This window comes from Homo sapiens, chromosome 11 (genome assembly GCF_000001405.40).
Source record: "Homo sapiens chromosome 11, GRCh38.p14 Primary Assembly".
NCBI lineage: Eukaryota > Metazoa > Chordata > Mammalia > Primates > Hominidae > Homo > Homo sapiens.
Window position 1 is genome coordinate 28,836,906 of NC_000011.10, and position 15,157 is coordinate 28,852,062.

Below are 15,157 nucleotides of genomic sequence, written 5' to 3' on the forward strand. Positions count from 1 at the left end.
CTCAAGAGTAAAGTATTATAAGCTGGGTGGTGAGAGGAGTAAGTGTCCTTATCAAAGTAGTGAACTGCTGTAGAGTTGATTAAAGACAGGTAAGATTTATCTGAAGAGAGAGAAAACTTTGGTGTTTTATATAGAGTCCCCTCCCATCCCCTTCACTCATATTCTCATTAACACTGATTTAGAATCTTAGAATCTAGTCTGAGGAAGTGGCTGTACTTGGAGATCAATCTAAGAAACAGCTTATTGCAGTCAGATTTGTTCTTCTCCTCTGATTCTGGCTTTCAAACTGGGTCCACCTTTTTGTTCATGGCTCTGTAAGATGCACTTTATTAAAATTAACTTTAGATAGGACTCTTCCAGCAATTTACCAAAGATGTCCAGCCCTTTTTGTACCCCAACCCGTTACATTTCAGCTGGGATCCCCACTCTATCAGGACACAGAAAGTGCATCTTCTTCAGTGCTCAAAACCTCAGTGTCCTTAAAATATCCTGTATTGATGTATCAGCCCCTCAATTCAGAGAAGATAGTTCCTCTGATCATATGACTTCATCATTTCATCCCATAAATTGGGATTTATGATCCAAATAATAGTCACTCTTTCATTGAGTCTGTAACATCTAGATTAATGTACATGTTTTGTGGTTTCCATTATCATATCTGGTTAACAACACCAACTATAAAATTTAAAGGCAGAATAACATAGTGATTTCACTTCATGTTAGACAGATATGGGCACAAATTCTAGGTTAGGTGCTTACAACTCTGAAATCTTAGGCAAGTTTCTTCAATCGCTGATACTAAGTCTCTTTATTTGAAAAATAGTGGTAGGCCAGGCACGGTGGCTCATGCCTGTAATCTGAGCACTTTGGGAAGCCAAGGCGGGTAGATCACGAGGTCAAGAGATCAGACCATGCTGGCCAACATGGTGAAACCCCATCTCTGCTAACAATACAAAAATTAGCCGGGCATGGTGGTGGGCGCCTGTAATCCCAGCCACTCGGAAGGCTGAGGCAGGAAAATTGCTTGAACCCATGAGGCGGAGGTTGCAGTGATCCAAGATTGTGTCACTGCACTCCAGCCTGGTGACAAAGCGAGACTCTGTTTCAAAAAAAAAAAAGAAAAATAATTGTATAGTAGTAGTGAGTATATAATTTAACAAAAGTATATGTAAAGTGTTTGGGAATGTACCTGAAATTTCACATTGAAAAATTATGATTATTGCTGTATCATTGTTATTAATCAAGTTTAATGGTCAACAGTACAGTATGATAAAGATGAAATGTATTCTATAAAATCTTACCTTTTTCTTTTCTTCATATTTAGTAAGAATTTATGTTGTTTATATTAGCATTATCTTTTCTTAAGAGAATAGTAATCTCTTAATGAGATTATTTCTTACAAGGCTTCATAAAAATGGAAAACTTAAGTTTTTCATTCTAGTCCAAAAGCATATGGGAAAAACAGTTTCAGAAGCTTTAAATATTAACAAGAGGAACACAGCATAATGATACAGGGAAGAAGTGAGAGCATGAATGCTCAGAATTGCTTTTAGTGGAAAGAAGCAGCCAGCATTTGTTGAGAGCTAAAGATCTTTTTTTTTTTAAATAGATATGAATTTAATTGGCAGGACTTGGCATCATTTACAGGAAAACATGTTTTATTTATTTCAGTTTAAATATATTTCAAACACTATTTTAAAATACAGTTCTGCCAAGTGATGGGGCAGCTGTTAAGTGGTTCAGGATTTAATGCCCTCGTTAGCCTTTTGCCTCTAAGGCCCTTGATCTACCTCTATGTAATTAAGCTCATACATTAAATTAGTTTTATGGGATAAGGGAGCCCCAAGTGGTATGGACATTAGATACTAGGAAGACATTTTGGATAATTGGCAGTTTCAGCTTGAAAACCACTTGGGGTGAGAATGAATGGGTGCTCAAGTTTAAAAGGGCATCAGCAAAAATAAATACCAGTGATGAAATTGAACTCTTCCTTCCTGTTTTTAATCAGGGCCAATCAGCAGCAAAATTATAAAGTAAATGAGAATGTCGTCATTGGAATTCCATCTCTATGAGTGTTTTTTCTACCTCTTTTCTCTCAAATTATCACAAAGTTGGAATTCCAACTCAAGCTGACTCTTAAGTAATATGTTGTACTTCAAATTATGAAATGTTTTATTTCAAAAGGAGATATCTGGAAAGAATAAAACAAATAGAAATGAATTTCTCATATGAAGTTATCACCACTTAATTTACTCTATAAGTAGGGGAAAGTTTTGCATGTGTAGGAAAGCTTGAAATCATAGAATCAATATGACCTTGCCCAGGGTTCAAATGCCTTGGTGGGTTACATGTTTTGTGTTGTAACAATCTGACCCTTGGGTCCATCTCATAGTGATTACACTCTCATGGGTGTATTTTGGAGAGGATAAAAGGAGATATAAGGCTTGTAAAGTGTCTTGAATCATGTCTGACACAAAGTAAGCATCTCAGGTTGTTGGTTTTGTGCTTACCTGACTCAATCCCTTCTTTGCTGAGTAGATCCTTTGCTCATTCTGCAAAACCGGCATTGCCTTTAGAATCACATGCAGAAATATCAGAGATGGCTGTTTTATTTCCATGGGGATATTATTATAGAATTTTACATCTGAAAGTGGCTTTAGTTTGCAAGTAAGAAAGCAGGTTGAGAGAGAAAGTGGCTTCTCCAAGGTCACAAATATAGCAGTAGCAGTAGTCTCAACTCCTAATTCGTCATGCTTCCTTTCCCTGAGCAGCAAGCAGGTGCTCAGTGGCAAATACTTGTCAGTGATTGATTGACTAAGAATATTAAATTTTTCCATCTGGATGTGTGTATTTTGGGGGTCGCTGGAGTCTGAATTGGGGAGGAGGAACCTCACCGAAGTAGTTTCAGCCTATTTGGTTCCTATCTTTAGAAAAAAAAACTCCTTTAGCCAATGTTTTCAAAAGAATAATTGCATTATATTCATAACCAATTCAAACTCATTTAAACAACTATTTCTTTCCCATATAAGAAGCATGGTGAGCATTTCCACTCCATCTTGAAATAATATTTTCATTTTCAAGTCTAAACATAGTAACTAGCGTAAAGTCTATCTAAACTTAGCCGCTAATAGCCCAGGCTGTTAAATTTGTCATTACAATAATTCTTTTTTTCCTGAGTGCAAAATTATCACAGCTTAAGATGAAACAATCTTTTGTTAAGCAACCAAAGCCATTGCTTTTAGTCACATGATTTACAGAAAATAAAGAGGGCCATACAACATATCTTACCTTGTATCAGCAGATGACAGAGCCGCAAGGTATTACACGACCATTTCCAATGAAAGGGATGGTAGGTGGTAGAGTTGGCAGCAATTACATTAGGTGGTGGGGTCTATAACCAGGAGACTCTGTAATTACCTTCAAGGGGACTGATATTCTTGTGAGGAAGAGGATGTGATGTGGTGCATATTCTATTGTCCATCATAATGAAAAAGTAAAATAAAGGAAAGTAAAAGGCTTTCTTGGTATTATTTCCTGACTCATTTGCCCTCTAAATGTGAGTGTAACATCACAATGAAATAATCTTCATACATAATGCTTTGCTCCTAGTTTCTTAAACTTGTATACGTTAAACAAAATTAAAATACAATTATAGACATTACCAGGAAGGAAGACAGTTTAGGAGGTCATCTAATTTGTCTCTTTAATTTATTGCTGGATCACATTTAAGTCACGCCAGGTGACGGAAACTTTCCTTAAAGTCAAATAGCTCTCATCTCTTGTGATAGAGTCTAGATCTTCTCATAAGGGACAATTGACCAGTCACCACATTGCTATGGGTGTTTGGATAAATATGAAGGAGGGTGTTCAAATGCAAACGTCAATCTGAGGGTCTAAGACTGCTTTGGGATTTTACACACTTTTAGATTATTTCCAAATTGCCATTAGGGATGAGCATAATCTGCATGAGTTACGATTGTCCATCACTATTTGGTATTTTCACATGACACTTTTTACACCAGGAGTGGATATCAAACTATATAATACAAGAAAAAAATCATTCTCTCACAGTTGTCCTTATTAGCCTTAAATTCTTTGGTCTATTATAACATACTCTCTCACCCTTCCTCTCTGTAATAGACAAAGATGGGCTGTCCAGATTCCCCTTCTGCCAACGACTTGGCAGAAGGATTTGCTGCCAAGTATAGGGAGTGCCATCATCAGGCAGTCTCCAACTCTCAAATCCTACAAAGTTGGCCCCAGCTGGAGAATCACCTCGTCTGGAGTTTCATCCCTTACAGGGCAGCTTGCATCCCTTGACTAAGCGAGGTAGAGGTATCATAATATTCAGCCATTTCTACCTGATGTGGTCATGTGAGAAAACCCTGATGGGACAGTATTTACTCCAGAGCTCTCCACCAGGTTGCCCCATTTTTTTTGTTCTGTCTGTATTTCAGATTAACTCCTTTCTCTGCTGAATCCCGCACTGTCCCTCTTCCATTCACAGGTGCTGATACCCAATAAACAACTTGCACCCCAAACTTCATCCTAGCATTTTCTCCTAGAGAACTCAACTTGTGACAGCACTCCCAGTTTACTTGCTCCACTGTCCTTCCATCTTATATGCCTGATTAAACCCAACAATTTGCATACTTTTTACCTGTCCCCAAGCTGGTAAATGAGTCTGGAGAAAAACACACAACCATGCTGACTCACTCTAAATTCATGATCACCTATCTCAAAAGGGCACTTGACCCTGTCAACGGATCCTACTGTGCTCCTGGGCATGTACTCTGTGGAACTCTCTACGTTTTCCATTTCTATTTCTCTCTTAGTTTTAAAACATCAATGCTCTTGTTACTTTGCTTCATAATTTGGTTGGAAAGATCTAGAAGACCTCAACTTTACCGTTTGGTGAGAAGGAAAAATACATCTGGCAATGCCTTCCTCCCTTTTCCCCATCAAATCTATAAAACTCTCCTCATCCAGACCCATGCTCTCTCCTTTCCCTTCAGTTGGAGAAGTGTCCTTATAATCTAAGTCATTTTGTGCCAATCTCATTAAATCTTCTCAAGGACATCATTTCTGCAGTGCTCCTCTCTTTTCTGGTAACACCAGTTTTTCTCTATCTCCTGGCTCATTTACATCAGCATAACAATACACGTAGTAGAGGCAGACCAGCATAGTGAAGGGCAACTCATAACAGGGCTTAAAAGTATAAACTTGACAGTCAGCCTGCCTTGGTTTAAACACTGGCTCCAGCAGCCACCAGGTAAAGCACATTACCTTGCCATTCTATACCTCTCCCTTCTCATCTATAAAAGGAAATCTTAGTAGTCCTTATCTCATAGGGATTTTGTGAGGATTTGTAAATAAAAATCAGGGGCTGTATTTATAATAGCCATTTGCACATAGTAACCACAAAATAAATAGTTAGAATTAGTAGTGTTCATATCTCCCATCCCAAATAGCATGCCAATAAACTCAAAAAACCTTTTTAAGCAAGTCTTCTAGATCCTAGACCATTTCTCTGTTCTCCTTTACATCAAAAATTATAGATAACTCATACTTCACTCCCTCATGTTCTGTTCTCTCCTCAATGAACTATGAATGGGCTTCATTCTCCAGTCTTTTTCTGAGTCTTTGAAAAGGTCAGTCCACATGGCTAAATCCAGTTGCCATTTTTTCTGCCATTTTACATGTTCTCTCAGCATATTTTGATGTAGTGACTATGGCATTTTAATTCAAACACGTTTTCTCTTGTTTATATGATGCCACAACTACTGGATTTTCTTCCAGCTCACAGATGGCACCTTCTCTGATTCCTTTGTGAACTCCTCTTGTTCTATTCAACCTCTAACTACTGCTTCTTTAGGTTCCTGTTGGGTTCTTTCTTCTACTTTTCCCTGATGACACAATTTTCCCAGGTGATCTCATCTGCCCTTGTGGCTTTAACTAGCATTCTGTAGGCCGCTGACCTCCCAATTTAAGTTTCCTGCCCTGGTCTCCTTATTTACTTACAAACATGCATATTCCAACACTTACTTGTTATCTCCACTGGATGGGCAAAACAAACTCTTCATTTTCCTCTCCACTTAAGCTTGTTTCTCCTCCAGTGTTCTCTATTTTAGTGAGTGGCAATACTTAGTTACTCAAGCCCCAAGCAAAACAAATCATATGTATCATTTCCTTTACATCATACCTACATATAATCTGTCAAAAACTTCTGTGTTTTCAAAATATAGCCCCAAACAGTCTACTTCTCTGTATCTCTACCATGTCTATTCAAGACACTATCTTACTTGTCTAGAATCCTGGAAGAGCCTCCCAACTGGTCCTCTTTTTTTTTTTTTCCCTTGCCTAATTAAAATCCATGACCACCTAAGCAGTCATAAAGACTTTTAATGCAAATTAAATTATGTCACTTCCCTGCTTAAAATGCTCCAGTGATATTCCATACCAATAAAAATAACATTTGAACATCTCACTTTCCTTTCAAAGCTTCTTCCCTGCATTCCTTAGGCATATGTGATATTTTCATTTTTCTTGAATAAAAAATTTCATTCGTATGGCCCTTGTACTTGCTTTTCTCTCTGCCGGGAGCATCCACTCTTCAGAACCTCATATAACTGACAGTTGTTCATCATTTAGTTCTTAACTTCAGCATTATCTTTTTAATGAGGTTTTCTTTCCCTGGCCACCTATTCTGATGCTCCCCTTCCCCATTGTCATTGTCAATCACATTATCCTTTTATTTTAATTCTAGTGTTTATCATTGTCTGTGATTATTCTATTCATTTGTTGCTATGGTTTGAATATGATTTGTTTGTCTCCACCTCAACTCATGTTTCTTTAAGTGATGATTAAGTCATTAAGATGGATTAATGTCTGTCTCTGGAGAATGGGTAAGCACGAAAGAGAGCAGGTTGTTCTAAAGCAGGTCAGCCTCCTTTGCCCCCAGTCTCTTTTTTTTTTTTTTTTTTTGAGACAAGGTCTCACTTTGTCACCCAAGCTGGAGTGCAGTGGCATGATCTTGGCTCACCGCAAACTACGCCCCCCAGGCTCACGCCATTCTCCTGCCTCAGACTCCTGTGCCCCCTGTCTCTTACATATGTAGACACTTGCTGCTCCCCACACGCTTCTGCCATGTGATGCCATCTGCCAGGTCATGGTGCAGCATGAGGCCCTTGCCAGATGTGGCTGACAGATCTCGAGTTACCCAAAGTCCGGAACTGTGAACTAAATAAACCTCTCTTCTTGATAAATTCCTCAGTCTCAAGTATTCTGATAGAGCAATAGAAAACAAACTAAGACATTTATTTTCTCATTCATTGTCTATTTTTACTCACTAGAATGCAAGTTTCATGATAACAGGGTCCTTGTCTGTCTTGTGTATCAGCTTATCTCTGGCACATGGTAAAGGATAAAAAGTTAGTTTTTAAATTAATAAACTCTAGTGCTTCCATGCCTTAGGCCTGATTCTCACTCCATCTAAATTCACCTCTCTTTGTCTTTATATCAATGCTGCTTTCCTTCCTTCCGTCCCTCCCACTTTTCTCTTTTTTCCTTCTTTCCTTCCTTCCTTGCTTTCTCTCTCTCTTTTTTCCCCTTCTCTCTTTCTTTCTCTTTCTTCCTTTCCCTCTTTCTTTTTTTCTCCCTCCCTCTTCTTCCTTCCTCCCTCCCTCTCCTTCCTTCCTCCCTCCCTCCCTTCCTTCTTCCCTTCCTCCCTTTCTTCTTCCCTGCCTCCCTCCCTCCTTCCTTACTTCCTTCCCTCCCTCCCTCTTCTTCCTTCCTCCCTCCCTCTTCTTCCTTCCTCCCTCCCTCCCTCCCTCCCTTCCTTCCTTCCCTCCCTCCCTCCTTCTCTCCTTCTCTCCTTCCCTCATTCCCTCCTTCCCTCTTTCCCTCATTCCCTCCTCTATTTTCTTTCTGTCTTTTCCCCTGATACCTCCCCCTGCCAGGGTATAATCTTCATACTTTATTTGCACTCCAGTTCAGGGGCTTTTCCTACAAGGACCTTTCTGTAGGCAGCACACCACCAATTTTGCTGTTTCCCAGAGACCCAGAGCTGGGCACTAACTCCAGTGGCTGGAGGTAATGGCTTTTATTTTGTGCATCCACAGAGCATTACAATGTCAAGAAGACATCTCTTCTGGATGGGAAAATAGCTAGTTAATGAGGGGTGATGCCCTCTTTCTACTAGCTTTCAACTGAAAAAATGTTTATATTTTGAGAACTCTGCATATTCACCTGGTAAAAAAGGAACTCATATATGTTGGTCATTTGCTTAGAAAACTATTGTTTAGGTACATTCCTTTCAAAGTTCTTGTGCCTAAAATTTTTGCAGTGGATCCTAAAATGGCATAATCTATTCTGAAACAGCTTATTTCTGAGTGATAACTTTTCCATAGGTTTATCTAATATTTACCTGGCCAATTCAATAATATTTGTTTCTAAACAGCATTTACATAACATTCATCATTTGAATTTAGGTTCAAAGAAATCCAGTGTGGAAAAACTTTACCACATATATGATCTACTTACAAGTTTCATTGACCATTACATCTGGCCTTTTCTCACAGTCAATTACATGTTATCAGAAAGGTGGAATTCAGGTCCTAGCTGCTCAAGGCTTCAGGTACAGTGCTTCAACACTGATTTTCCAGGAATCAGAGGCCCCAGATAGCAGTATTCTCTTTTCCATGGCTTCTATTTCTAATGTGCAGGGTTTCTAATGTGCAGGGTTTCTAATGTGCAGGGTTATTTTTTTTTTTGTGAGTTCCTTGGAGGTTCTTTTTTGCTTGCTGTGAACACTGTTGAGACTTCATGTGTGATTATTTAGTGCCTAGTTGTGGTAATACTCTTGTATTTAACCCTTCATACTGGGGCAGCTCACTATTTTTTTGCTTCTTCAACTGTGATAACCTCCCACCACTGTGGTTTTCAAAGTGGGACGTCAGCTTGTCTACTTGTGGAAAACAGCCATTTTCCCCAATAACGGGATAGGTACTTCATTTACCATGTACTTTTCTGTCAGAAAAGATTAGCACTTGGGGAAGATACACAAAAGCAGGTCCTCTGGGGAAAACCAAACAGATGTGAACTCAGTTATCATTTTAACTGACAGTTGGCTAAAGCAGACCCTCATAACCCCAACTGTACTGACAACAATACTACTTTTTATCATTACAAAAATTAAATTATTAAAAATTCACAGTGTGCCAGACAGTATGCTGTATATGTTACATGCATGAATTCATTTAATTCTCAATCCCATAAGTAGATTCCATTATTATCCACCCTACTTTGCAAATGAGGATCATAAGCACAGAAAGGTTAAGTGTCTTGGCCTTTATCATACAATTGGTGATGTTAGAGCCGGGATTCTAATATAGATGATGACTCTACAATCCATGCTTAACCACTCCAATATTCCCCCATGTAGTGTCATTCCTTCTAACAATGTCCTTAGCTCTCCTTTCCTACAGGACTGTAGCTGGTGTGCCTTCAGGTGTTAAATTTAAATTATTTCCTGTATGTTCATTGTGGGTCAGCTTTTCTTTGTTAACAGAGAATCTAGGTGATACTTAATAGACCATGGTGATCAGCATAATAGACTTAGTTTTTTTGGGATAACAATATTAATTTTGGAAAATACTTATTGACCACATGCCATGCACTGGGCTAAGAATGTCATACAAACTTGTGTATATTCTTCCAACAATACTGAGATGTAAATGTTTTTACATTCAATTTAAAAATAAAGAAATTTAGGCTTAGAGAGTTAAATGGTTTATCCAGTCTTGCAAAGATGGTAAGTAGGTGCAAGTGAAATTTGTATTTAGGTAAGTCAGCATCCTAAATCTATGTTATTTCTACCACATTAGAGAGGAATGTCTGAAAAAGATGGTGCTAAAGAAGAATTTGAAATTATGGAATGCCTAGTAGATGGAATCTGTAAAACAGCTATAATAATGCATCCAAAGATATCATGGGAAGAAGAACAGGCATCAACTGTTTTTCTGGGAAAGCTGTCAGTCATCACTTTGTTGCCTGCCATAGGACTGGGTAACAATGGTTAGTTGAGGACATTTTATCACACTGGTTTACTGTGATTCCTGTTTCTCTTATTATTTGTTAAGTTATGCATCTTTTAACAATGTTTACAAACTACTGAATATATCTCTCAGTTCAACAAACAATTATATACAAAGCACAGTTGCAGGATTTCGCACAGGATACAAAGCATGACACAAAAATAAGTGTAAGAGCTTTAAAGCTGGGAGTATCCAGGTTAAAATTCTGCTTTCTCCACATAATGTGCAACCTGAGGCACGATACTTTATACCTTAATTTTCTCATTTGTAAAGGAGCATAATATCTACCTCATAGGGCTGTGGTGAGGATTAAATAGAGTATCTTAGCTTGGCACTTAGAGTATAATGGGAATTAAATGACTTCCTTCTCATTTTTTTTCTTTTAACAGAAAATACAATACAAAGGGCAAATAAGACAGTTTACAAAATTATTGTAATGATTCATAGGAAAGGTAAAAATATCAGTATGCTTCATTTCTTGATGGACTGAGATAGTAGACAAATAAAAAAATTGAAATAAAATAGGATAAAGACACAATACTATAATCACGCAATGGGATACTACTCAGCAAAAAAAAGAAGAAACTATTACCACAACTAATAACATAGAAGAATCTCAAAAATATACTGAAGAAAAGAAACCAGGCACAATAGAGTACACACTGCAAGATTTCACTTACATCAATTTCCAGAATAGGCAAAACTCTTGTGATAGAAGTCATATTAGTGGCTGCTTCTGAGGTGGAGGGCCCTGCTGGAAAGAGGCATGGGGACATTTTCTCTGCTGGTGATAATGTTCTACACATTACTTAGGGTTGCCTGAATTAAAACTCTGTAAGCTGGACACCTAAAATCCATACATTTTCTCCATGCAAATTATAATGCAATTTAGAAAAATGTGTCTATTCAGATTTAAAAGGGGAAGAAAGTAAACGTATTTGAGGGAATAAGGAAAGTTCAACAGAAGTGCTCCTGTAGGAGCTGTAATGATCAAAAGCTAATTGGAAGTGATGGGGAGGACATTTCAAGTAAGAGAACAATGGTGAGGACATGCAGGAAAAAAAAGAATGGGGATAGGAAGTGGGGAAAGATGCTGAGGTGATAGTGGGGCCAGATTGTAGGAGGCTTTATATATCAGTTTGAGAGGTATTGGGCAAAATGAGACCACAGAAAATTTTCATTGTGGGAGATTGGTATACTTAAAACAATGCCTTAGAAAAATTATTCTGGCAGTTACCTGTCAATTAAATAGAAAGTAGAGGAAACAGAGATATTGGGGTACTTAGAGGAACCAGTAGAAGAAAGACTGTTGTAGGAGAACCTATATCATGCTATTTAGGAGAAAGGAAACTGTTACTCATGGCCTAACAGTATTTTGTTGTTGTTGGCAGAACTAGCAAGTGTTTCCTTTATAGCTTTAACCTTCTTTTCTTTCTTTTTCTTTCTTTCTTTCTCTTTCTTTCTTTCTTTCTCTTCCTTCCTTCCTTCCTTCCTTCCTTCCTTCCTTCCTTCCTTCCTTCCTTCCTTTCTTCCTTCCTTTCCTTTCTTCCTTTACTTTCCTTCCTTTCTTTCTTTCTTTCTTTCTTTCTTTCTTTCTTTCTTTCTTTCTTTCTTTTCTTTCTTTCTCGCTTTCTTTCTTTCTTTCTCTCTTTCTCTCTTTCTTTCTTTCTTTCTCTCTTTCTCTCTTTCTTTCCTTTCTTTTTTTGACTGAGTCTCGCTTTGTCACCAGGCTGGAGTGCAGTGGCACAATCTTGGCTCACTGCAACCTCTGCCTCCCAGGTTCAAGTGATTCTCCCGCCTCAGCCTCCCAATTAGCTGAGACTACAGGCACACACCACCACGCCCAGCTAATTTTTGCATTTTTAGTAGACACGGCGTTTCACCATGTTGGCCAGAATTGTCTCGATCTCTTGACGTTGTGATCTGCCCACCTCGGCCTCCCAAAGTGCTGGGATCACAGGCATGAACAACCGCACCCGGCCTTAACCTCCTTCTCAATTTGCAAGATAACAAGTATGTCAGTGGCTCTAGTTGGTTTTATTCGACCACATTGACAGCTATCATTTTTGAAGTCTAAAAAAGAAAACATACCCTCCAACATGTGGTGATGCAGAGTTGCTACTAGAAGTCTAGCTAGATGACTGCTTAGAGGTCTCAGAAGGTAGTATTTTTCCCTGATAAAGTTGCTATATACCAGGGTTTGGGCAATACCTGCTCATAAGCTCATAAATTTTTCTTTAAAAAAATATATGAGACTATGAGACATGATCAGACATGAGTATCCTGACTCATGCTAACTAATCTCACAAAAGATTGATGTACAAATAAGAAAACCACTGATAAAAGTGTAACTAAGGGCACAACCCCAAAAAGGGTATATATTGACTGGGTGGGAACAAAAAATAGGGAAGTTCTAGAATTCTTCCAAGTAATAAAAGTACACTATGGAAACTGAAGTTACTATTCTCCTTGCAGCTAATGTCTAAGCACTTTATGCTCCCTACTCAGGCTCACCTCAGACTTTGAATAAGAAGCTAGTGGTACAGGAGCATGAATTGTGCAAAATCCATTCAGAGTATCAGAATTTTGTGGCGGATACATCCTGTGTGCAAAGGCAGCAGATTTAGTGTTCTTGTCAAATGCTCTGCATCAGTGATGTGTGCAGTGAGAGCTAAGAGTATATTCCATGAGGCAATGGCAATATGCTGTTTTCATTTTATCAGTTTTGCAAATTTGCTTGCCATTCCTGCCCACAGCACCACTAACTATCCATAAGGCTCTCTATCACTATGCAATGATCTCTCTTAATGAACTTATATGGGAGAATGGGGGAAAGTGGACTGTTAGTAAGGGTGTAAAGAGTTTCTCTGAAGTAGCTAGATTTTATACCTTCAGAAAAATCAGGAATGCATACAGTTTTAAAGCTTGAATAACCTTTGGAGACAATTTCTTATAACTCTTACTACACTTGCTGGAATCTGAGTTTCACCAGGACAAGGAACTCTACTTTACCAATTCATCTTTATCTTTCCCCTTGCTTAATGCTGTGGCAGGCATGGGCGAATACTCAATAAATGCATTTTGATAAATAAACCATCTAGTTTCTGCCAGACAAGGACCTGGCTAAATGATTTTCTGCTAGGCCTTATCCCTCTAACAGGTGTGGCTGGCTTTATTAACTGATCAAGCTAATGTCTCCTTTCCAGCATCTCTTATATATTATCTCAGAACTCTCTCTAGACAAAATTGATAGGAGTTGATATAGGGATTAAGAAAGTTGCCATTTCTGAAATCCAATATTGTCCATAGAGATGAGAATACTGAGATATAAGATGTTAAATATTTTGGATTTTTTATCCTTAGACCAGCAATGGGAAAGTTTATTATAATAACTATAACAAATTTGCTGATAAATTTAAACATCTAAACTAACATATCTGGAGGTCAAAGAAAACAGTATTTTCAAGTGATTTTACAATTAATTTTTAAATTGCAGACTCTCTTTGGATGGTCTACCAACTTTACAATTTTCTCTTCTCTGGGAACTGACATAATTTTTCAGATAACACACATACATGCTTGTGCAATCTAACCCCTGACCCCTGGCTATTTTTAACTGGAGAAGTGATAGACACCTACCAAAAGCTGGGTCAATCATATTTTAGGGTCTTGGAAGTTTATGCTGTGAAGAAAAGTTGGGAGTTGAGTTGTGCAACTGGTAGTTTTAGAGGGTAAGCTCTTAAAGTCTTCTAGTGCCTTGGTCCCAACCTTTTTGGCACCAGGGACTGGTTTCATGGAAGACAAATTTTCCATGGCCTGGGGGAGGAGACGTGGGAGGGATGGTTTCAGAGTGATTCAAGCACATTACATTTATTGTGCACTTTATTTCTGTTATTGCAGTGTAATATATAATGGAACAATTATACAATTTTCCATAATGTAGATTCAGTGGGAAACCTGAGCTTGTTTTCCTGCAACTAAATTGTCCCATCTGGGAGTGGTGGGAGATAGTGACAGATCATCAGGCATTAGATTTTCATAAGAAACATGCAACCTAGATACCTTGCATGCACAGTTCACAATAGGATTTGTGTTTCTATGAGAATCTAATGCTACTGCTGCTCTGACAGGAGATGGAGCTCAGGCAATAATGTGAGCATTAGGTAGCAGCCGTAAATGCAGATGAAGCTTTGCTCACTTGCCTGCTGCTCACCTCCTGCTGTGTGGCCTAGTTCCTAACAGGCCATGAGCCACTGTGATCTGGGGGGTTGGGGACACCTGTTTTAGTGCATTCCCTGGGGATGTCTAATTCTCCATCTTCCCTGAGTCCTTGTTGCTCAGCATTTTTCGATATTACATGATATCCCTCAAAATAAGCTCCTTTTTCCCCCTTAAACTTCATTGAATAATTTCATTGCTTATGCTTCTCTCAAACTGAGCAACTCATATATTTAAAAACTATTTACTTTCTTGTTTTTTTATCCCATCCCACTGACCTCAATCTTATGTTTCCTACTCATCTACCTTACTTTTTAATGTGGACATTTTTGGGCTAAATCTTTGAACCCCTTCTCTTTTGTATCTGAACTTTCTTCCTTGGTAGTGTCATATAGTCCCGTGCTTTTTAGTAACATCTACATGAGGATGATTCCACAGTTTATATTTGTACTACAAACCTCTCCCTTAACCTCCAGACTCATACATCCCAATGTCAGTTCATTCTCTCCATTGCCTAAGTTCAGAATACATGTTGATTGTAACATTTCCAAAACCAGACTTTCAGTGAATTTCCCATAGTTCTTCCCATATGGTTAATAATAATTCCATCTACTTAGAATGATCCACACTGCTGCTCTGTCTCTGAAAACCTGTATCCAAAGTGTCAACAATTTCTTTGTGGCTACCTTGAAGATACGCCATGACTCTGACCACTTCTTACCACTTCACTTTCACTGTTTTTACTCTTAGTGCATTCTAGCATCATCTCTTGCCTGGTTTTTCCAATAGTCTTTTTTTTTTTCATTCTTGTTTCTATTCAGGATACCCAGCAAAGCAGCTAAAAT